Genomic DNA, 24,293 nt, shown 5'->3' with positions numbered 1-24,293 from the left:
GTGATTCTCATACCTCAGCCTCCAGAGTAGCTGGGATTACAGGCACGTGCCACCATGCGCAGCTAATTTTTGTATTTCTAGTAGAGACGGGGTTTTGCCATGTTGGCCAGGCTAGTCTTGAACTCCTGACCTCAAAAAATCTGCCTGCCTCGGCCTTCCAAAGTGTGGGGATTACAGGCATGAGCCACTGCACCCGGCCCGCTGAGACCCTTTGAACTGGCTGGGAGACCTCACAAGGTAGTACAAATTGATGGGGCCTTACCCAAGCTGGATAGCTTTGGATAAGCCATGCAACCTCTCTGCATTCAGTTTCCTCACCTATAAAATGGGTACAGTGGTATTTATCTCAGGAGCTCACATGGAGCAAATGAAATATAATATATACCATGTCTAGTACATAGCAGTCCCTTTCTTAGCTGGATTGGGGGACCCCAGCAGGTACTGGTGGTGATGGGGATCATTGGATATTGGTCCAGGTTCAGGAAAACTCTGGAAACCCTGAGTAATGACTGGAGGTTTAGATTCCTCTGATTTGAGGATTCTTGGCTTACTCTCAGTTGATCAACATGGACCCCACTCATTCTGACTGGCTAAGGAATATCTATCCACCAGATGTCAATAAGGGGCAGGGGGACAGGTGGGAAGAAGAGAAGAAAGGGCTTTGAAATGTGCTTCTTGGACTACCCTGGAAATGGGTGGTGGGGGAGAAAGCCCTGACATAGTCCTGCCCAGTGACAACCTGGGAGAATATGGGAGCTAATCTTGGTTGCTGTTTGCAATTTCCACCCAAACAAAAAGGAACCAAAGGAAAGAGATAAGCACCTTAAGTCCAGGGCTGGAAAAGCCCTCAAGTTTTTCCTGTTTTTTTTGGGTGGGGGGAGGGGCAAGGGGCTGGCAATATGCTTTCAACCTCCTGACTGGACAATGATTATTTGGGCATCCAAGCTCAGGGAGCATTTTCCAAGACTCATTAGAGTTTAGAAGAAAATGTTTGGTGCAAGGCCCCCTCTTAAAGTAGCCTCCACCTTAGCCTTCCTTGCCCTGAGGGAAGGGGAGAAGGGGGCCCGCCTCTCTGCGATTCACTAGGTTTGCTCAGAAGGTAAAACTGTTGAGCCCTGTGCTTGCTTAGTCAGTCTTGGTTAGTTATGCCAGAACAGCTAGAAGATGGGCAATGTGACGTCTGTTCCCTGAGACCTCACTGGCAACACCAAGTAAGTAATAGGCAGGCCTTCCAAAGGGGCAAGGACAAAATTGACTCAGGTTACAGGCCTCCCATGAGGTAAGCACACAGCTGGGCCTGGGCTGGCACCAGGCAGGGAAACTGACATGCAAAGCAGTGCATTCTCATCTTCTGCCCTATCTTTGAGGCTCTTCCTGAGGCCTGGAGTTGTTTTCAGCCTTCCACGCTCCTCTTTGCCATTCCAGTGGGAGGAGAAGCTGATGTGCAGAAATACTAGAAGGCACATGGCTGGGTGCTATTTCTGGCCTGGGCTGAACTCACGAGTCCTAGAAAGAATGTTTCTGACACTGTTTGCCTTCCGAGAATCCATGAAGCCCAGGGACAAACCCTGCCTGGCTCTGTACTGACTCAGACCCATGGGCTTGCCAACCATGGCATCCTGAGGGGCTGGAGAAAGAGGGTGATGAAAACAGTGACACTGCATGGAAAGAGCCCCCAGCGGCTGGCTCAGAGCACACTGCACCCTTGGCTGCTCCTTTTATTCATTCATGCATTTATTAAGCAATTGTACCTATCAGAGGTTCTTCTAGGTGCTTGATATACACAAGAGAACAAAACAGACATTTCTGTTTTCAAAGATTTTACATTCTAGCAAGGAGAAGGCAGATAATTAAAAGTGAACATAATAAATCAGTAACATTTTGTTTGTTTGGTTTTTATTCGAGACAGAGTCTCGCTCTGTTGCCCAGGCTGGAGTGCAGTGGTGTGATCTCGGCTCACCATAACCTCTGCCTCCTGGGTTCAAGTGATTCTCTTGCCTCAACCTCCCAAATAACTGGGATTACAGGCACATGGCACTGCACCTGACTAATTTTTGTATTTTTAGTAGAGACAGGGTTTCACCATGTTGGCCAGGCTGGTCTCAAACACCTGACCTCAAGTGATCCACCAGCCTCAGCATCCCAAAGTTCTTGGATTACAGGCATGAGCCACCACACCCAGCCTAAAATGTTTAATATGTTAAACGGCATTAAATGTTAAGGAAACAAGAGAAAGCAGAGTAGAGTAAAGGAAATCTGTGCTGGATGGGGAGGCTGTAGCTTTAGATGGGGTGGTCAGGCTGGACGTCATTGACCTAGAGAGCTGCAAAGACGTGAAGGAAGTGGTTAACTTAGCCAGGCTCACAGCTGGGGGAAGAGTGATCAGGGTAGGGAAAACTGCTAAAGCAAAGGCCCAGGGATGGGAAGACGTGTGCTACATCAAGGAACAGCATAGAAGCCAGTGTAGCTAGAGCAGAGGAAGCAAAGAGGAGAAAAGTAGAAGCTTCAGAGAGGTGATGGGCACTGAGGAAATAACAGATCCTATGGTGCTTTGTAAGTCCTTTGTAAGGACATTGGCCTCTACTTTGAGTGAAATGGGGATTCACTTCAAGATTTTTGAACAGAGAAGCAGCATGATCTGACATTTTTGGAAAGAATCACTCTGGAAAGATGGCAACAGCAGTGTTAGCCTAGTTTTTGGATATTTCTGAATCCTCACATAAAAACAGAAAATAGAATGAGAACCAAAGCTGGGATCCATGGCTCATGCCTGTAATCCCAGTACTTTGGGAGGCTGTGGCAGAAGGATCATTTGAGCCCAGGATCTGGAGACCAGCCTGGGAAACATGGTGAAGCCTCATCTCTACAAAAAATACAAAAATTAGCCAAGCGTGATGGCATGTGCCTGCAGTCCCAACTACTTGGGAGGTTGAGGCAGGAGGATTGCTTGAGCCTGGGAGGTCAAGGATGCAGTGACTCAAGAAGGCACCACTGTGTGCTCCCATCCCCCTAAAAAATAAAAAATAGAATGAGAATGAAAACCCTTGGACAACATTTAGCTCAAAACTAGGTGATGAAGTATCCTTATGAACCCCAAAATAGAAGTGGAGAGAAACAAATTACTTATAGCCACAGACCTGGACAGGTATCAGCATCAAGGCAGAGGAAAGGGACAGAGTATTTGGTGGGCCTGAGAACAGGAGAGCCACAAAATAGCCAATAGTTATTGTATGGAAAGCACAGGAGGGTAGTTTGAAACACACTCTACTGGCAGGTGGTGCAACGACCTGCAGCAAGGTCTGCAGGTAGGGGCTGAAGTGCAGTACCCGGACCTGGGGAGCTGACCATCGCAGGAATCCTGGACACCATCTTATGTGAAGAGGAACTGCTGGGTGTGGAGTGAAGAACAAACAGGACAGCACAATAAAGAAACGGAAAGAGAAGGTCAGAGCAAAGTGGTGGAAGAGAACAGAACCCGGAAATCTCAGAAAACAAAAGCCTATGGGCTTTTGTTTGGTTTTGTTTTTTCAATATGACCCAAAAATAATACAGGAGGAAGCTCTGTGAAATTAGAGAAGCTAACTGAATCAAGGCTCCTTCTAGCAGTTCTAGAAAATTTACTTTCCATAAAAATGAGCAACAGAAATGTGTCAAATTCAAATTCAAACAGAATGTTTATAAGGAAAACAGTAATAATAATGTCCCCACAGATCATGAAATCATGACAGGAAGATATGCTAAAAGAAAAAAAAAAAACAGAAATATCCAAAATACCTGATCAAAATAATAGTATTCTTTTTTCAAAATGAAGTAAAAGACACTAAGAAAATGTCTTAAATTAGCTGGGCATGTTGGTGCACCTGTAGTCCTAGCTACTCAGGAGTGGGGCTGAGGCAGGAGGGTCATTTGAGCCCCGGAATTCTAGGATACAGTAAGCTATGATCACGACACTGCACTCCAGCCTGGGCAGCAAAACGAGACCTCATCTTTTAAAAAAATTATATAAAAAAAAGAGGCTGGACACAGCGGCTCACGCCTGTAATCCTAGCACTTTGGGAGGCCAAGGAGGATCATTTGAGCCCAGGAGTTTGATACCAGCCTGAGCAACATAGTGAGATGCCATCTCTAGTTTTAAAATAAAATTTTAAAAAATTAAAAATTAAAAATAAATAAATAATGTCATATCAGAATTAGATAATATACATCAGAATTAAATAAGCTCAGAAAGGAGGTGACAAAACTTAGGAAATAGAAAGAAAAGGAAAAAAATCAAAATAAAGATCAAACTAGAATGAATACAAAACCAAACAAATATAACAAATATAACAACAGAAATAGAAAGTCAAAAGGCAGAGAATTATAAGAATCAAAAAGGAATGCAGAAAGATTAAAAAGGATTTGAGAAAAATGACAAATATTTAAGACAGGCAAAAAGATATGATACAAAGATAATGAGAGTTCTGAAGAAGAAACCAAAACAAAGAAACAGAATGAATACTCAACACTATAACTCAAGAAAACTTTCCTGTCCCAGCTACTCGGGAGGCTGAGAGGGGAGGAAAACTTGAGTGCAAGAAGTCGAGGCTGCAGTGAGCTGTGATGGCACCACAGCCTGGATGACAGGGTGAGACTCTGTGTTAGAAAACAAAAAACAAAAAGCAAAAAAGAAAACTTTCTAAAATTGAAAAAAAAGATAGAAAAAAATATTTTTTTTGAGATGGAGCCTCGCTCTTATTGCCCAGGCTGGAGTGCAATGGCGCGATCTTGGCTCACTGCAACCTCCGCCTCCCAGGTTCAAGAGATTCTCCTGCCTCAAGGAAAAGATTCGAAACTACATATTGCAAGAGCACATAATGTGCTTGAGAATAAACATATATTAGTAAAGTTTTTGACATGATCTAACAGTTCTAGAAAATTTAGGATCATGAACAAAAAAAAGCCAAAAACATATATTAGTAAAATTTTTAGACTTTAAAGGAAACGAAGGAATCCATTTGGCATCTCAGTAAAAAGTGCATGTTACTTGTAAGGGAAAGAAAATTAGTTTATCATTAGACTTTTCAACAATAATGCTTAATAAGCAAATGGAGTAACATATTTAAGGTGCTCAAGGAAGGAAAATGTAAACTAAAGATTTTAAATCTGGCCAAACTTAACCTTAAAGCAGAAAGGACACTGATAAATTTATCAACATGTAAGAAGAACTTAAGGAATATCACTCCCATGAGCCCTTCTTAAGGAATTTATTAAACAATATGCATTAGACAACCCAAATGACTTGAGAACAATCAGCATAGAGATGACTGGTGAGCATTAAATATATAATCACTGGTAGAATTAGATTAACTGAAGGTTAAAAGACAGAGGGTATAGTATATGTAATAGTTATATGCTCTGACAATGCAAATTTAGTATAACCAGAGAATGTGTATAGGATCAGCAAAATTTTTTAAGCTGTTTTCAATAATCATAATGACTTGTGGTAGTATTAATATGGTCATTCTGAGACTATTGTATTTATAATGCAGGATAAAGCAGATGAGAAACTGTAGAATATTCTATTATCCTTAGGTCCTTGAGAAACAGGATTTTCAGAATTTGAATCAGAAATACCAGCCCTGATTCGAATTGGAAACATCACTATGAACTCATGAAGTATTTCATCTTGACATATATATATATATTTTTCCCCTACTCTGTCTATTAAAATCAGCCAAGAAACACTGCAGGCCTGGGTCACAAACTATTCAAGATGAGCCTGAAACACGTTTTCATACCACGTAGTGAAAAAGTTATCAAAGATTATGAATGGGTTTTCTAGGGCTGTTATAAGTGCCACAAACTTGAGTGTTTAAAACAACAGAAATTAGGCGGGGCACAGTGGCTCACGCCTGTAATCCCAGCACTTTGGGAGGCCAAGGCGGGTGGATCACTGGAGTTCAGGAGTTTGAGATCAGCCTGGCCAACATGGCGAAACCCTGTCTCTACTAAAAATACAAAAATAAGTCGGGCGTGGTGGTGCGCATCTGTAGTCCCAGCTACTTGGGAGGCTGAGGCAAGAGAATAGCTTGAACAAGGAGGTAGAGGTTGCAGTCAGCCAAGATCACACCATTGTACTCCAGCCTAGGCAAGCGTGAGACTCCGCCTAAAAAACAAACAAACAAATAAAAAACAAAACAAAACAAATTTATTCCCCCTCAGGCCTGGAGACTAGAAATCTGGAATGTAAAATCAAGCTGTTGGCAAGATTATCCCCTCTGGAAGCTCTAAAAAAGAATCTGTTTCATGCCCCCCTCCTAGCTTTTGGGGGTTGTTGGCAATTCTTGGATTCAGCTTGTAGATGCACCACCCTAATCACTCCCTCCATTGTTACATGACAAATGTCCCTCTTCTTTGTTTTTTTGAGATGGAGTCTTGTTCTGTCACCCAGACTGGAGTGCAGTGGCACAATCTTGGCTCACTGCAACTTCTGCCTCTCGGGTTCAAGCGATTTTCTAGCCTCAGCCACCTGAGTAGCTGGGATTACAGGAGCATGCCTCCATGCCTGGCTAATTTTTGTATTTTTATAGAGATGGGGGTTTTGCCATGTTGGCCAGACTGGTCTCGAATGCCTAACCTCGGGTGATCCTCTCACCTCGGTCTCCCAAAGTGCTGGGATTTCAGACATAAACCACTGTGCCCAGTCCCTCTTCCTTTAAGAACACCAGTCAGATTGGATTTAGGGCCCATGTGAATTCAATATGACCTCTTCTTAGTTTCATTACATCTGCAAAGACCCTATTTCCAAATAAAATCAGTCATAGGCTCCAGGTGAACAGGAGTCTTGGGAAATCCTATTCAACTTAGTACTGACTGCTAGGGTCAGGTCAAAAGAACAAAAAGAAGCTCACCCAGCTCACCTCTCCTGGGCAGCATTCCATGGCCCAGATTGTGCCCACCATCCTGATTTACCTATCCTGTGTCTCATTTTCTTAAACCCCTGTTTCCTGCTAGTTTGTCTGATAGATGATATCAAATCCATTAATGTTGAACAGGAGCTGTTTAGACATGGTCCACTTACATCTTCACAAATGTATTTTAAGCCATGACTGAGAGAAGGAAATCACGAAGCAATATCTGGCACTCAGCAGACATGGTGGACCTCACCGTTATGTAGGAAGCTCAATGCTCTGACAAAAAGAGGCCTCTCTTGGTTCTTGCCCTAAGAGTGAGGTCCTGATGATCACCCTGCTGGGTGCAGAGTACTTGCTCTAGTTGGATCTTACCCATACCTCTCTCGATTTCTCTTAGCCTCTGGAGGTTGAGCTCAGTTACCTAAGAGCTTGCAGTCACATGTTAGCTGCTGAGCACTGTTCAGCCCAGGGTGAAGGAGAAAAGGACATGGAGTCCACTTTCTGAAGGATTTTTCAGGTTAGAGGCTCTGAGTCCTAAGTTTTGAATCTGCTTATTAACACAGTGGGTCTCATCACTCCACTCAAGGCCAGTCTGGGCCCAGGGTTCAAAGTCATGGTTGTGTGAGGAGAACTCATTGCACACCACAATTTCTGTATTGTGCTTCAAAGAAAGGAGAGCAAAGGCATCTGGGCATCTGGTGTTGGAAAAATGGCCTGTATTTTCTTTCTTTTTTCTTTTTTCTTTTTTTTTTGAGACGGAATCTTGCTCTGTCGCCTAGGCTGGAGTGCAGTGGCATGACTTCGGCTCACTGCAACCTCTGCCTCCCGGGTTCCAGTGAGTCTCCTGCCTCAGCTTCACAAGTAGCTGGGATTACAGGTGCCCACCACCACGCCTGGCTAATTTTTTGTATTTTTAGTAGAGACAGGGTTTTGCCATGTTGGCCAGGCTGGTCTCGAACTCCTGACCTCAGGTGATTCGCCTGCCTTGGCCTCCCAAAGTGTTGGGATTACAGGCATGAGCCACCATACCCGGCCTGTATTTTCTCTACTCCCTCTTTGGCGTTCAGCCTTAGTTCTCTCAGCCTCACTGTGCATGGAGCTTGGCTCCTCAGCACCCACAGGTCCTGACAGACCCTCCTGTCAATGGGCTAGAAGGCATGTCCAGCCAGGGAGCCCTGATCTGGGAGCAGTGAACACTCCCATTCCAGCTCCAGCCTTTCACTAAGCAAACAAAGCAAACAACCCACTTTCAGTCCCCAAAAGTCATCTTTGGCCTCTGTTAAAAAAAAAAAAAAAAAGCGTGTTAGAGTATTTGTCCCCTAGGGGTGACCTATTTGTGTCACAAGATTTTCAGTGATGACTTCTTCTCTTCCTCCTTGTTCCCTGAAGATGCCCAAGAGGCAGGCATGGACTTATTATGGGCACAAATCCTTTACATAATAGGACTTTTATTTTCAGATCCCTAGTGACCCTCAGAGTACCCATGATCCCTCTGAAATTGTATGGGCATTTGAAAAATATCTTTTTTTTCCCCCATTGGAGAGTTTGGCTATGGCTTTAATCAGATTCTTTTTGTGTTTGTCAGACAAGAAAAAAAAAAACAGTCAGTAAAAACAAAAACACTGTCCTTTTATTATCCCTGCAAGATAAAACATAATCTCCTTTTCACTTTCTGATACCTTCTTCACAATTTTATTTAGAAATAATTTTAATATTTCCAACTGTTAAAATAACCCAGCCAGGCATGGTGGTGTGTGCCTAGAGTCCCAGCTACTCTGGAGGCTGAGGCAGGAGGATCACTTGAGCCTGGGAGGTCAAGGCTGTAGTAAGCCATGATAGCACCACTGCACTCCAGCCTGGGCAACAGAGTAAGACCCGGTCTCAAAAACAAAAACAAGCACACAAACAAAAACCCTTGTAAACTTATAAATATTTGTCCAGGGCTTTTGAGTATCCAAAGATCTCAATCTCCTTTAGCTTTCAGAGACCCTGTGAAGTTACATACTACAATCACCCCATTTTACAGAGGAGGAAATAGGCTCAAGGAGGCAGGTAGGGCCGGGTGTGGTGGCTCATGCCTGTAATCCCAGCATTTTGGGAGGCTGAGGTGGGCAGATCACTTGAGGTCAGGAGTTTGAGACCAGCCTGACCAACATGACAAACCCCATCTCTACTAAAAATACAAAAATCAGCCAGGTGTGGTGGTGCACACCTGTAGTCCCAGCTACTCAGGAGGCTGAGGCAGAAGAATCACTTGAACCTGGGAGGTGGAGGTTGCAGTGAGCCAAGATTGTGCCACTGCACTCCACAGAGTGAGACTCTGTCTCAAAAGAAAAAAAAAAAAAAAAAGGAGGCAAGTAGATGACCCAGGGTGATCTAGAATTCTGATTGAAATCTCTCCCTCTAGAGAAGAAAGCACTTCTCACTCTACGCAGAGCAGAAATAGTACAACAGCCTATCACTTCCTTTGTGCCAAGAGGCTGAGAAATTGTATGCACATTAAAAAATATACATGAAAGAAATAGTTTTTGGATGGGAAAGAAGGGCTTATTTTATTTGTAGACAACTTCTCTAGGCCATGTTACCGAAGTATGTGTGGGGTAGGGGGGTTTGGGGGTTGCTTTCTTGGAAGTGATTGGATCACTGGAACCCAGGAGGCAGAGGTTGCAGATAAAAAAAGCTAGGGTGGAAAAAGACTTGAAAGGAAGGATGCCCCCTTTCCACCAATTCCCAGGAAAGTCTCCTAACATGGCCTGTCTCCTCATTTTCATCTGTAAAGGGTCATGTCTGAAAAGAGCTTTGCAGTGAAGTTCAAACAGCTGCCCACTCACATTTTTCTAGCCCACAGACTGTTTCCCTACCCAACAAACATCGTTCCAATGTCACTGTGATTGCTATCTCTGTGGCAGTAACAATACCCTGAAGACAAATCTTAGTCCAGGAGTTCAGGTTTTTACTAAGTCTCTTACTCATTTGCCTCCCGTGTTTCTTTTTACTTGGCTATTTAACATTCCCCAGCCTTGAGGACAGGGTGCATGAGAATTGTGTAATACTGATTTAAAGCTAATGTTCTATGTTGTTCTCTTCAGTCTGTATCTGTAATCTCTAGGGGCTCTGCCACGTCAGGTGCCCTCTCACAGTCTCCTGAGTCCACAGCGACTTCCTGGCACAGACAGATGCAGCACCAGGGTGCTCAAAACCACCTCCCATTCCCTCCTGTGGTCCCCAAGCTCACCCTTTTCCTGACTGCCCCGTAGCCTGAGCCTGATGTACAAACACGTGGAATCCATCTTGTTATGTAAGCTTCCTGGTTGCTGAGCTGGGTGACTCAGTGCCGAGATTGTCCCTCACTCTTTCCCAGCCTCGGGCAGCATGCTAGCCCGCACCAGGTCAGCGGCAAACTGGAATGGAAATCTAGGCCTGCTAATGGGGTCCAGCTGAGTGGCCTTCATTTCCCAGTGGAGCCTGGTGAGCCCAGCAAGCCCATGGGAACTGTCCTGGAACTGTTGTAAACTAACCCATGGGTAGAATTCTCCATCTTCCTTGCTCATTTCCTTTTACCTCCCCTTCTCAGCTTTGGCTGAAGATCACAGAAGGTTCACATTCAGCAACCCTTTGCTCTGGGGCTGCCACCTTCTGGGTCCCTGTTATGGAGTGAATGTTTCTGTCCCCCTCCAAATTCGTATGTTAAAGCCCCAACCCGCAATGTGATTGTGTTGGATGGTGGGACCTTTGGGAGGTGATTAGGTTTAGATAAGGTTATGAAGGCGAGGCCCCATGACGGGATTAGTGCCCTCTACGAGGATAAGAGACATCTTCCAAAGAGGAAGATGTATGGTGACAAGGCAGCTGTCTGCAAGTCAGGAAGAGAGCCCTCACCCGTACCTGACCATGCTGGCCCCTGGTCTCGGACTTCTCACCTCCAGAACTGTGGGAGATAAATGTCTGTTATTAAAGCTGCCCATCCCATATTTTGTTGTAGCAGCCTGAGCAGACTAAGACAGTCCCACTGACCCGAGTCCTCACCTCTGGGTTCTGGCAAGGCTCAGGCAGTGAGTGGTACTGGTGTAAGAGGATGTGCTCAAAGGTTTTAACTCAATGGTAATACAAATTCTGTCTCCTTGGCTTGAGGTTCTCATCACACAGTAGGAAACCCATGGGTTGGGGATACTGTCTATAGAGAGGACAGACAGGCTGATTTTGGTGTCTTGCTGTCTCTCATTTCCCTCCCCTGTAGGTATGCGATTGTCTCTCCTCTCCCTTCCAGGACAGGGGCAGCATCCTCCTGACTATGGTACTAGGGGCCAGAAGGCCCCAAATTCTAGCACAGGTTCTGCCACTAACCTGGCATTAGGGGTTAGGCAGCTCACTCTTTCTCTCTGTGCCTCAGGGACTCGACTGACTATCATCTGCTTTTGAATTGTTAGGCAGCTCACTCTTTCTCTCTGTGCCTCGGGGACTCGACTGACTATCACCTGCTTTTGAATTGTTACTCGTTCCATTCATTAATGGAACCAGCTCTTCCTAGTGGTGGGGTATGGTGCTGAACAAGATGGCAGTAATCCCTGCCCTTACGGAGCCTCCCCATTCCACAGTGGGGAGATAGTCAACGAGGAAACGGTTAAATAAGATAGCCACCAACTATGATGCGTGCTCTGAGGGAGATAAGCAGAATGATGAAACAGATTAACTTGGAGGAAGTGATAATTATTTAAGACTCCTTAGGCTAGGCCCAGTGGCTCATGCCTGTAATCCCAGCACTTTGGGATGCCGAGGCGGGCGGATCACCTGAGGTCAGGAGTTCGTCATCAGCCTGGCCAACTTGGTGAAATCCTGTCTCTACTAAAAATACAAAAATTAGTCTGGCGTGGTGGTGGGCATCTGTAAGCCCAGCTACTTGGGAGGTTGAGGCAGGATAATCACTTGAACCTGGGAGGCAGTGAGCCGAGATTGTATCACTGCACTCCAGCCTGGGCAACAGAGTGAGACTCCATCTCAAAAAATAAAAATAATAATAATAATAAAAGCTTCCTTCTGTAAGCTGAGAAAGCACCAGCCCATCAAACAGGGAAGAGCTTTCCAGGCAGAATTATGAGCTAATAGAAGCAAAAATGCTTGAAAAATTATACAGTGCAACACAGTTAGCAAACTTAATCTAAGTAAAAGTGCCTTCATTCTCTGCAGCTTTGTCTCATTCTTTGATTACACCCTAGAATTGGCACAGCTGCCTAGCACCTGGAAAACAGTGTTAGGGACCATGAAATCACACAAGAGGCTAATGCTAAGGCTCTTGCTGGGCACGTGTGGTGGAAAGGTGGGTGGACTAAGTGTTCTGTTCTCTTTGAGGACCTGACGATCTAATCTACACAGAGAAACCCTTTACCTCTCACAGTCCCGCATACCCAACTGCTTCAGTCCTTTGTTAATCCTTCTTTCAACATTCAACTGCCGTTTATGGAGCATCTGCCAAGAGATAGGGATCCTCCCCTGCTCTGAGCAGGAACTCAGGAAGTGATACCCTCCTCCCCATGTCACAGTCCAGGCCGAGGCTACTCCCCCAGCTTGTTCAAATTTAGGTCCACGTTGGCTATGGTCCACTTTGCTTGCTGTTTTGCTCTCCAGCTAGATCTCTTTGGGGAGCCAGAGGGGTCATCTAGGGATCACAATGTTTAGCACGCATGTTCTCTCTCTGGACAAATGTCTGCAGGCGTGTGGGGTGTGGACACACAGTGAATCTCCCTCAGGGAAGCCCAGTAGCAAACTTCACTGACTGACCAACTGAGGAAATCCCGCAAGGTTGGGCCCAGTGCTGATCTCTGGGCACATTTTCTTAGTGACAAGGGCACTGGACAGAGTCCATAATATCAGGTTTCCACTTGCTAAGCATGAAGCCTGATCTGCAGTTTTACATGTCTTAGTTGTGCTGCCCCTTCGGCTCTGACATGCTATAGCTGTGTGACTTTAGGGGGACAGTGGTTTTCTTTCTTTTCTTTTCTTTTCTTTCTTTTTTTTTTTTTTTGAGACTGAGTTTCGCTCTATCGCCCAGGCTGGAGTGCAGTGGAGCTATCTCGGCTCACTGCAACCTCTGCCTCCTGGGCTCAAACAATTCTCGTGTCTCAGCCTCCTGAGTAGCTGGGATTACAGACATCTGCCACCACGCCCAGCTAATTTTCGTATTTCTGTAAAGACGGGGTTTCACCATGTTGGCCAGGCTGGTCTCAAATTTCTGACCTCAGACCATCTGCCCCCCTTGGCCTCCCAAAGTGCTGGGATTACAGGCGTGAGCCACTGTGCCCGGCCAGGACAGTGGCTTTCAAATTTCAGTGGGCATCAGAATTTCTTAAGAGCTTGTGAAAATGCAGATTCTTGAACCTGCTGAATAAATAGCTCATTGGATGGGGTGTGTGGGAATCTGCATCTTCCAGACTAATTTATTCCTACTCTCTGGCCTGTCTCTCATCCTCCAATACCTTCGACCCTTTCTCATCTCAGGGGCTTTGACACTGCTGTTCTTCCCATCTGAATGCCTTTTCTCCCGCTCCTTAAAAGGATGGCTCGTTCTGCTTCTTCAGGTCTCAGCTCAGATGTCACCTCCTCTGAGAAGCTCTCATGGACTTCTCTATTTAAATTGTCCTCCCTCATTCATTTTGCCTACCACCCTAACTTTAACAATCTCATTTCGGTGTTTGTTTATTGTTTATTGTTTAGTTCCTTTGGTTAAGGACCTTGTTTGTCTTGAACACTACTCTAGCCTCAGTCTTCAGCAAATATTTGCAGAATGAATAAATGAAAATGTAAAAGAGGATTTCTCAAGGCCAGGGGCTCTCAAGCTTTAACATGCAACAGAATCACCTGGAAGGCTTTTTAAAATAAGATTGCTCAGTCTTTGTTCCCAGAGTTTCAGATTCTTCTTATCTGGGAGTAGGGCAGTTCTAACAAGTTTCCAGGTGCTGCTGATGCTTCTTGTCTGGGAACTGCACTTTGAGAGCCACTGCATAAAATTAAAACCCCATCTGTATCCCATTAAAGTATATCCACTGGTAAGTTGTAGAGAGAAGTTGTAGAGAGGAGTCCGAGAGGAGGAAGTTCAAATGAGTTGGTCTCAAAGGTACTTGGAAAAAGTAACGGGCTTCAGGACAATGCTAAGGTCTCTTTCCTCTTGGAGATCTTGGGTTTCTGAGATAAAAGACTGCTCCCCGACACTTTTTTTTTGGCTCTTTTCAGTTTATTGCATGAAGGAGTTACACTAGTCCAAGTTAAGAGCAGACCCCAAACGGTTACATTACATAAGCTGTGGAGGTTTTCCAAGTTGTGACAAGGGACAGAAGGGAAATTCTACTCAGTGCAAGGAAATCCTCACTTAAGCTTCAGTGAGCCACAGGCACTTAAAACACATGAACCTTCAGCTGATCGTCCTTAGCCAGTCCAAGCTCTACGAGGAACTGGCATATGTTATTGCATTGGTCACCCTGAGGCTGAATTACTTCTCCATACTCTGGATGCTCAATTACAGTACCATTGCAGGCAAAATTCTTAAATGCCTTCACTAGTTTCTTTTTATCATAATCATCAGCAATCCCTTGGACAGTAGTAAGGGTCTTCCTGCCATTTCTCTGTTGAATTCTTATATGGATATAATCCTCAGTGCCAGCAGGAAGCAGGTCATCACCCTTACTTGCATCAGCAAAGGGGTCGAAAGAGTGGAGGTTCTGGATAGCGAACTTACAATACGATTCCTTTTCCTCGGTGGAAACGGCCTGCGGAAGGCAGCGGTGGCGGGAGAAGGCAGGCAGCCGGGACGGAATGTCAGGAAGTGAGGGGGCTCAAAAGGGAGGCTGCTGAGTCCTCGGTGGTGGCTCAGTGACTGGACCCCCCTGCTTTTTTTTTTTTTTTTTCTTGTAGAGATGAGATCTCATTATGTTGCCCAGACTGGTCTCGAACTCCTGGCCTCAAGCAATCCTTCTGCCTGGGCCTCCCAACATGTTGAGATTATAGGTATGAGCCACCACATCCAGCTCAAAGGCTGCTTTTCTGATGAGGAAGTTGTGGACAAATAAGTCTATTCTTCTTCAGCTACCAGAATAAGAAAAGCTTAGAAAATGATTCTTAGGCTCCCAAACTGAACATCCAACAGATTCTCAAGTTGCTGTGGTGACCTGTGTTTCTAAATCAAGTCCTGCTTCCACAATTCCAAAAGAGTAATTAATAAATCAGAGATTAGGAAATGGGAAAAGAAGAAATTCTTATCCTCATCCAAAGACAGCTTTTCCCAGAGTATATTCTGAAGAGCATTAGTTCCATAATTAACAGCAAGATGAAAGCGTTCCATGGTCCAGTGAAATTCAGTGATACCGAAAGCCGTATCCATTACTTGGAGGCTCACAGTACATACCTGCAAAGTCTCATAGTCCAGAAATCAGTTTAAGACAGTTAAGCTCCATCCTGGGCAACATAGTGAGACCCTGTCTCTACAAATAATAAAAAATTAGCTGGACATAGTGGTGAGCACCTTCCAGCTACTTGGGAGGCTGAGGCAAGAAGATTGCTTGAGCCCAGGAAGTCGAGGCTTCAGTAAACCATGATCATGCCACAGCACTCAGCTCGGGCAACAGAGTGAGTCCCTCAAAAAGAAAAATGCTGTTAAGCTCCTCCTTCCTTCTTTCCCTCCTTCCTTCCTTCCTTCCTTCCTCTGTCTCTTTCTCTCTCTCTCTTTTTCTCTCTTTCTTTCTTTTTTCTTTCTTTTTTGAGACAGGATCTCACTCTGTCACCCAGGCTGGAGTGCAGTGGCATGATCACAGCTCACTGCAGCCTCAATCTCCCCAGGCTCAGGTGATCCTTCCACCTCAACCTCTGAGTAGTTGAGATTTTTTTTTTTATTTTTTGTAGAAACAGGGTCTTGCCATGCTGCCCAGGCTGGTCTCGAACTGCTGGACTCAAGTGATCCACCGCCTTAGCCTCCCAAAGTGTTGGGATTAAGGCGTGAGCCCTAAACTGTCTTTTGATATAAAACCAAAGAGCATTTTTGCTCATCACATATCCTGAGGCACATATTTAGAGAAGCACTGCCTTTGGGGACCTTTTCTCTTTAATGGGAGAAATTTTGTTTTGTTTTGGATGGAAACTTCATGTAAACATGAAAAACACTCTGATACACACACACACACACACACACACACACACACACACACACACACACACACACATTGCCTTAGTCCCCAGATAGGCAGGAAAGACAATATCCGGAATGACCGTTCCAGTTTTCGTCCCTTCCAGATGTGAAGCTGCCCTGAGGTGTGTGACATGGGATGTTGTCTCTACCTGGGTGGGGACCTGAGGTTGCTCTTTGATTGGGCAGTTAGGGTGAGTGGAGGAGGAAGCTCTGGGGGTGAGTGATAGGCAGCCAGGAAAGTGATGGCTTGGGGAGTAGACAGTGGAATTTTCCCCTGAAAATCCTTTTGAACTGAAGCGGATTTGAATGTTGCACCCATGGTCACCTAGATCCCAGGGCTAAATGATTTTTCTCTTCATTTTCCAGTAATAATTAACATTGCTGTAGTGATCACAGGCAGTTTGGAGACAGTTTGTCTGGCTGTAGTGATGGAAACAAGAAGGAAACTCCTCCCCAAACCCCTCAGGGAAACTTTCTTTTCTCTTCTGACAGTTGGTGGGAAGAGGGGGACACTGAAACATTCCTTAATTGGCAAGGATTGCTCTGCCTTTTTTTTTTTTTGAGAGGGAGTCTCTCACTGTCGCCCAGGCTGGAGTGCAGTGGCATGATCTCGGCTCACTGCAAGCTCCACTTCCCAGGTTCATGCCATTCTCCTGCCTCAGCCTCCTGAGTAGCTGGGACTACAGGCACCCGCCACCACGCCCGGATAATTTTTTTGTATTTTAAGTAGAGATGGGGTTTCACCGTGTTAGCCAGGATGGTCTCGATCTCCTGACCTGCCTTTTCTTAAAATGCTTTTCAGCCAAGCATAGTGGCTCACACCTGTAATCCCAGCACTTTGGGAGGCCAAGGCGAGTGGATCACCTGAGGTTAAGAGTTCAAGAACAGCCTGGCCAACATGGTGAAACACCATCTCTACTAAAAATACAAAAATCAGCTGGGCGTGGTGGTGCACATCTGTAAGCCCAACTACTCGGGAAGCTGAGGCAGGAGAATTGCTTGAACCCAGAAGGTGGAGGTTGCAGTGAGCTGAGATCCTGCCACTGTACTCCAGCCTGGGCGATAGAATGAGACTCCGTCTCAAAAAAAAAAAAAAAAAAACAGTTTTCAGGATCTTATATTCTTTTAGCAAAACACTCATTTTCGGTAAATGAATGATGTTTTCATTAATCATCCAAGTGACACTCCAGAGGTGGTTTTAGATTAGGAAACAGAGGCTGAGAAGCCAGGAAATCTTTCTGGGGCAGGAGCAGGGAGGAATGTGGTGTCTTGTTTTCTAGCTCACTGGAGACCTCTGAGCCTCCAGGCATGTTGTCAGTGGCATCCTGCATTTCACTTTGAATATACAAGTTGGATTTGATAACCAGGTGAGGTCAGAGTCATGGCCATGGGATAGAATGCCCCTTTTTTTATTTTTATTTTTTTGAGACGGAGTCTTACTCTGTCACCCAGGCTGGAGTGCAGTGCTGCAATCTCGGCTCACTGCAACCTCCGCCTCCTGGGTTCAAGCAATTCTTCTGCCTCAACCTCCCGAGTAGCTGGGACTACAGGCACGTGCCACCATGCCTGGCTAATTTTTGTATTTTCAGTAGACACAAGGTTTCACCATATTGCCCAGGCTGGTCTCCAAGTCCTGACCTTGTGATCCGCCCACCTCGGCCTCCCAAAATGCTGGGATTACAGGCGTGAGCCACGGCGCCTGGCCTTAGAATGCCTCTTCTACAGCCTCTTGCATTGCAGAGGAGCTGCTTTATTCCTGCCCCAGCAGCTGAGCAACTCTAAAAAGCATGGCTTTGTGTTTTATGGTTTTAATTTTGTTGATTTCTAAAGGCTTTTCTCTCTCTGTCCTTCCTTCTTTTCTCCCAAGGAAAAAGGAAACGATAACAAAATATTAACATACTTGAGAGAGCCATCAGAATCTGCATCTGGGAGTGAAGAGAGGGCTTTCTTTTCCACGAGGCAGTGCACGCCATAGAATGTCCAAACAATGAGGGACCTCAGGGATTATCCTGCTCACCTCTTATAAGAAGGTGGAGGCCCAAAGTTAAGCTCTTGCACAGGACTCTTAATCGCAGCTCCACCTCTTTCTGCTACTCCAGGCTGGAAGGGAGAGAGCATTATTTGTTATGTAATTTCATGAGTTCTGCTGGAGCTCTGATGGGATCTCTGCAGCATGACTTGACGTGACACTATTTGGAACCATTAAGCTGGGTTATCTTCTGGTGTGCTGTAAAGCTGGGGTATCTTCTGGTGTGCTGAGGATCTGGCGAGCTTGCTTATATTTGTGGGCTGACTGGCTGAGTAAGAATGAGAGGACTTCGGCCTGCAAAGAAAGGCTGATTATCTATCCTAAAACCGGCTTGATGCTTTTCTTTTTTATTTTTTGAGAAGGAGTTTCACTCTTGTTGCCCAGGCTGGAGTGCAATGGCGTGATCTCGGCTCACTGTAACCTCTGCCTCCTGCGTTCCAGCAATTCTCCTGCCTCAGCCTCCAGAGTAGCTGGGATTACAGGCATGCGCCACCATGCCTGGCTAATTTTTTTGTATTTTTAGTAGAGATGGGGTTTCACCATGTTGGCCAGGCTGGTCTTGAACTCCTGACCTCAGGTGATGCACCCACCTCGGCCTCCCAAAGTGCTGGGATTACAGGCGTGTGCCACGGCGCCTGGCCAGCTTGATGCTTTTCTGAGCACTCAACCAAATTAGTTCGGAAATGTCTGAGGCTCCTATAATGGAGAAAGAGTGAAACTGAGCAAGGTGTGCAATTACCCCCCTGGTGAAAACCCACCAGATGCTGACATCACTGGAAGCCCCTGTGTAGCTCCAACTCTCAATTCTGTCACTTCTTTACTCCTCCTGAGTGACGGCTGAGTTTAAATTCTGGGTCTCTCTGCCATGCTGTGAAAAATTGTCTTCTGAAGAATGGCCACCATGTAATTCAGGGCCTGCAGCTGCACCAACACCTACCCATCTAGTTCCTCCTTCAAGGAGTTTCAGATCATTTTATGCTATGGAGCCACTGATGCAGAGTATGGTAATGTCTGTTTTGGATACTTTATTTCTTATTCTGGTGACAGGCTTTTTTTTTATTATGTAAACTTTTTTTCCCCCTGATTGGCAATATCATCATTATTTGTCAATCATATTCTTTTTGTTTGTTTGTTTTTGTTTTTGAGACGGAGTCTCGCTCTGTTGCCCAGGCTGGAGGGCAGTGATGTGTTCTTGGCTCACTGAAACCTTTGCCTCCCAGGCTTAAGCGAGTCTTGTGCCTCAGCCTCCCGAGTAGCTGGGACTACAGGTGTGTGCCACCATACCCGGATAATTTTTGTAGAGTGGGGTTTAGCCATGTTGCTGAGGCTGGTCTTCAACTCCTGGGCTCAAGTGATCCGCCCCCCCTTGGCTTCCCAAAGTGCTGGGATTAGAGGTGTGAGCCACCACACCTGGCCTCACATTCTTAAAATTAATGTGTTTTGACAGTAATTGCCTGTTAGTTGGACCTGTGACTACATTAACAAAAATAATCTTTCATGTAGCATATAGGGGTAGAGTGATAGGGAGGGCAGGAAGAAAAAAAGAAAAAGGATAGAGAGAGAGAGTTCTGTACGTTAAAGAGTGTGTTGCTCTTGGAGTCTCTGAGATCTTGGCCAGGCCCGCAACTAATTATGCATGTTGTTTTCTCTGGATCCTCAGTGACAATTTGAGCTATGAATAAGACTTAGAAAGAATAGGACATTGTATTTTCCAGAGCAGAAATATAAATACATGTTTTACAGCCTCAGAGTAATCCCCATAACTGAACTCACACTGTAGAACATAATTTGACACCTCCCTCAGTCATAGCCACTAAGAGTGACCGCCATTAGGAACCTAATGTTACTCAGAAAATAAGGACCATCAAATCCTAGGGTTGGGAGGATCTTGGAGGTCATCTTGTCCCTTTTATGCCTTCTAGCTCTTGAGCAATAAGGGAATCTGGAGCAGTGAGGGATGGGAGGGGCCAGGGGTGGGGAGCCTCTGCCTCTGACTTTGTCTTAAATATTCCAGAAATGAGGATGCATTCTTGGTCACCAAGATGCTATGTATCTATTCTAGCATTTAGTTTTAAGAAACCCCAGTGCATGGGTAAGAGTGATTAGTACTATCAAGAGCACATCATGTTGTGCCTGGCACCATGCCAAGCACTTACAACACATCTTACCTCATTTACTACAACAGCCCCATGAAGGTAGGCACTTTATTTATAAAGAGAGCAACACATAAAAAGGTTAGTAAGTTACTCTAGACTTAGCAAGTGGCAGAGCTGGGGTTCAAACTAAAGTTTGACTGGTTTCACACCTCAACCTTTTTTTTTTTTTTTGAGATGGGGGTCTGTCTCTATTGTCCTGGCTTGTCTTGAACTCCTGGGTTCAAGTGGTCCTCCTGCCTCAGCCTCCCCAGTAGCTGGAACTATAGGTGCACACCACCATTCCAAGCTCCTGTACCTCCAACTTTTCTGGTATTATTCTGCTCTGCCATTTGCAAGAAAGTCTTACTATTATAAAATGGTTCTTTTTATGTGCTGTATAATTCGTTTTGACTTACAAGCCAAAAGACATTTTCTTTGAAATTAACAAGAAGTTCATAATTAGGGTTGCCAGGCTTGGCAAATAAAAATACAGGGTACCCAGTACAGTCAAATTTCAGATAGACAACAAATAATTTTTTAGTTCGTGTGTCTCAAACATTTTTAGCATAACTATGTCCAAAATATTACATGGGACATACTTAAAACTAAAAAAAAAATTATTCTTTGTTTGATATTCAAATTTCCTGGTCATCCTATATCTTATCTGACATCTGTATTCACAATGAATGAGACCAAGTTGCTAAATTTAGTCCCTTTGTAGGCCACAGTGTTGCTCTGTTCCACGGCTGATGACTCTCTAGTGGGAACCTCTTCATCTAGGGCCTTCTGTAAACCCTTCAGTCCCATCCCTCAGTCCCATCCCTCAGTGTCTTTCTTTTTTTTTTTTTTTTTTTTTTTTTTTTTGTTCTGAGCCCTTTGTGTATTCCAGATTCTACTACTTCATTGGTTATGTGTGTGGCAAGTATCTTCTTCCAGTTTGTGTCTAGCCTTTTCATTTTCTTTTCTTTTTTTTTTTTTCTTTCTTTCAGCATCTGATATGGTTTGGCTGTGCCCTCACCCAGTTCTCATCTTGAATTCCCACGTGTTGTGGGAGGGACCTGGTGGGAGATAATTGAATCATGGGTGGGCGGGGGGGTCTTTCCCTTGCTGTTCTTGTGATAGTGAATAAATCTCACGAGATCTGATGGTTTTAAAAAGGGGAGTTTCTCTGCACAAGCTCTCTTCTCTTGTCCACCACCATGTGAGATATGCCTTCCACCTTCCACCATGATGGTGAGGCCTCCCCAGCCACGTGGAACTGTAAGTCCAATAAACCTCTTTCTTTTGTAAATTGCCCAGTCCCGGGTATGTCTTTATTAGCGGGGTAAAACGAACTAATAGAGCATCCAAAATGTTTTTAATAAGAGAGTAGGATCAGGGTTCGTTTTTATAGTGCGGCTGGCCCATGGGGCCCTGGCACAGTGAAAATTTCGGCCCTTGGAACCCACGTAGGGTTTGGTGTAGCTGTGTGGGGTTCCCGGGGTAAATGCCAGTGTCCCTATGGGCCCTTTCGAGGGCCAAAAAGCAAGATGGTGCCACAGCTCTTGCGGGAGTCCAGGGCCAGCTGCTCAAAGGTACGGATCTTGCCCCAGCCGTGGGGATGCGGCTGGGCCCTGGCCGCTCACACGCAGTGCGAGGCTTTACTCTGGGCACCTCCTGAACCCACACAGCCGCAGCTGTGGGCCTGAAACCACAGCCGTTTTGTTTTCCGGGCCTGGAAGCTTCATTTTCCGGTCAGGATCAGAGGTGGCTGGTTGGTGCGATTCACAAAAAGCCTCTTCAGTATAACCTGGCTGAAGGTGGACAGCTTGACCAACAGCCGTAGGTAGATGTCCAGCTCTTGGGCTCCCTGCACCCAACCTTTCTGTCCTTGCTGTGGTGGATGTTGACTCCCACGATGGCGCCTCCTGCTCCACCAGGTCGGGAAGGAGCCATTTCACTTTCTTTACGGGATCTTTTGATAAACACATATTCTTCAATTAAGGATAGTCAAATTAATCAGTATTTTCCTTTATTATCTATGTATTTATTTTGAGATGGGCTCTGGCTTTGTTGCCTAGCCTGGAATCCAGGGGCACGATATCACCTCACTCTAGCCTCCACCTCCCAGGTTCAAACAATCCTCCCACCTCAGCCTCCTGAGTAGCTGGGACCATAGGTGCGCATCACCATGCCCAGCTAATTTTTTGTGTTTTGTAGATACGGGGTCTTCCTACATTGCCCGGGCTGGTCTTGAACTCCTGGCCTCAAGCAAATGTTTTCCTTTATAGTTAGTACTTTTGTGTCTTGTTTAAGAAACTTGGCCGGGCATGGTGGCTCACACCCTGTAATTCCAGCACTTTGGGAGGCTGAGGTGGGCAGATCACTTGAGGCCAGGAGTTAAAGACCAGCCTGACCAACATAGTGAAACCCTGTCTCTACTAAAAACACAAAAAAATTAGCTGGGCGTGGTGGCGCACACCTGTAATCCCAGCTACTCAGGAGGCTGAGGCATGATAATCGATTGCATCTGGGAGGCAGAAGTGGTAGTGAGCCAAGATCATGCCACTGCACTCCAGCCTGGGTGACAGAATGAGACCCTACCTCAACAAAAATAAATTTTTTTTCCCTACTCTGTGAATATAGACGTGTTCTCTTATTTCATTATTATTTATTTTATTTTTTTACTTTTTATATTTAAGTCTTTTTTTTGTTTGTTTGTTTTTGAGACAGAGTCTTACTCTGTTGCCCAGGCTGGAGTGCAGTGGCATGATCTTGGCTCATTGCAACCTCTGCTTCCCAGGTTCAAGTGATTCTCCTGCCTCAACCTCCTGAGTAGCTGGGATTACAGGCACCTGCTACCACACCCAGCTAATTTTTTTGTATTTTTAGTAAAGGTGGGGTTTTACCATGTTGGCCAGGCTGGTTTCGAATTCCTGACCTCAGGTGATCCACCCGCTTCAGCCACCCAAAGTGCTGGAATTACAGGCGTGAGCCACTGAGCCTGGCCATATTTAAGTCTTTAATCTGCCTAGTATTTCTGCTTGTGTGCAATATGTTGGTGGGTCCTCCATTGTCCCAGCACTATTTATGAGTGATCCATCTTTCCTCGATGATCAACAATTTTTAAAAAAATCTTAAAAAAATATGGAATGTTGAGTTTACAATGAACTGTGATTGTGACACTGCACTCCAGTCTGAACAACAGCGCGAGACTGTCTCTTAAAAAAAAAAGAAAAAGAAACAAAGAACTCTTCACGAATTGGTGTGCCATCCTGGTGAAGGGGCCATGCTAATAGTCTCTGTATAGTTCCAATTTTAGTATATGTGCTGCTGAAGTGAGCACTAATCAAAAATTTTAATATTTCTTTCTGTGACTATTCCCACTGCTGGACTATGAGCTACTTTTATCTCTATATTACTAGAGTCTAGCATATAGGATTTGTCTCTGAGAGTGGGCTAAATAATTGTTGAACTGTGGTTTTTTTTGTTTTTGTTTTTTTTTTTTTTTGAGATGGAGTCTCGTTCTGTCGTCCAGGCTGGAGTGCAGTGGTGCAGTCTTGGCTCACTGAAACCTCTGCCTCCCAGGTTCAAGTGATTCTCATGCCTCAGCCTTCCGAGTAGCTAGGATTACAGGCATGCACCACCATGCCTGGCTAATTTTTGTATTTTTAGTAGAGATGGAGTTTCACCGTTTTGACAAGGCTGGTCTTGAACTCCTGACCTCAGGTGATCCGCCTGCCTCGGCCTGCCAAAGTGCTGGTATTACAGGTGTGAGCCACTGTACCTGGCCTGAACTACGTTCTTAATCCTGGGCACCATCTTGCAAAAATCTGGTAATATAAGTTAAGTAGTGGCTTAAGCAAAGGAAGATTTCTGCTCATGAAGAATTTTATCTAAAGTAGCTGTTGAATTTACTAAATGAGTTGCTGAGTCTTGTTATTGGAATAATAATTGTATTAGTTCTCGAATAGCTATAAAGAAATACTTGAGACTGGGCTGGACGCGGTGGCTCACACCTGTAATCCCAGTACTTTGGGAGGCTGAGGTGGGTGGATCCGCTGAGGTCAGGAGTTCGAGACCAGCCT

General features: G+C 45.1%; 3 pseudogenes, besides 3 other annotated features; all 3 read right to left on the bottom strand.

Annotated features, from left to right (window-relative positions):
• Nucleotides 11,296-11,588: a transcriptional cis regulatory region, noted in NCBI's record as "candidate enhancer chr1.10230 targeted for multiplex CRISPR interference". NCBI's record gives its function as "positively regulates GLUL gene expression with high confidence in K562 cells {active_cell/tissue: K562}" and the evidence as "EXISTENCE:mutant phenotype evidence [ECO:0000015][PMID:30612741]".
• Nucleotides 12,120-12,667: a transcriptional cis regulatory region, noted in NCBI's record as "candidate enhancer chr1.10229 targeted for multiplex CRISPR interference". NCBI's record gives its function as "positively regulates GLUL gene expression with high confidence in K562 cells {active_cell/tissue: K562}" and the evidence as "EXISTENCE:mutant phenotype evidence [ECO:0000015][PMID:30612741]".
• Nucleotides 12,674-13,309: an enhancer, noted in NCBI's record as "H3K4me1 hESC enhancer chr1:182306445-182307080 (GRCh37/hg19 assembly coordinates)". NCBI's record gives its function as "activates a minimal SCP1, AML or CMV promoter by ChIP-STARR-seq in primed H9 embryonic stem cells {active_cell/tissue: H9 hESC(primed)}" and the evidence as "EXISTENCE:reporter gene assay evidence [ECO:0000049][PMID:30033119]".
• On the bottom strand, nucleotides 14,105-14,761 carry EIF1P3 (eukaryotic translation initiation factor 1 pseudogene 3; annotated as a pseudogene).
• On the bottom strand, nucleotides 21,561-22,161 carry RPL18P2 (ribosomal protein L18 pseudogene 2; annotated as a pseudogene).
• RNU6-152P (RNA, U6 small nuclear 152, pseudogene) lies at nucleotides 23,445-23,551 on the bottom strand (annotated as a pseudogene).

This window comes from Homo sapiens, chromosome 1 (genome assembly GCF_000001405.40).
Source record: "Homo sapiens chromosome 1, GRCh38.p14 Primary Assembly".
In the NCBI taxonomy this organism is placed as follows: Eukaryota; Metazoa; Chordata; class Mammalia; order Primates; family Hominidae; genus Homo; species Homo sapiens.
The sequence above is the reverse complement of the archived record's forward strand: the minus strand, read 5'-3'. Positions and strand labels throughout refer to the sequence as shown.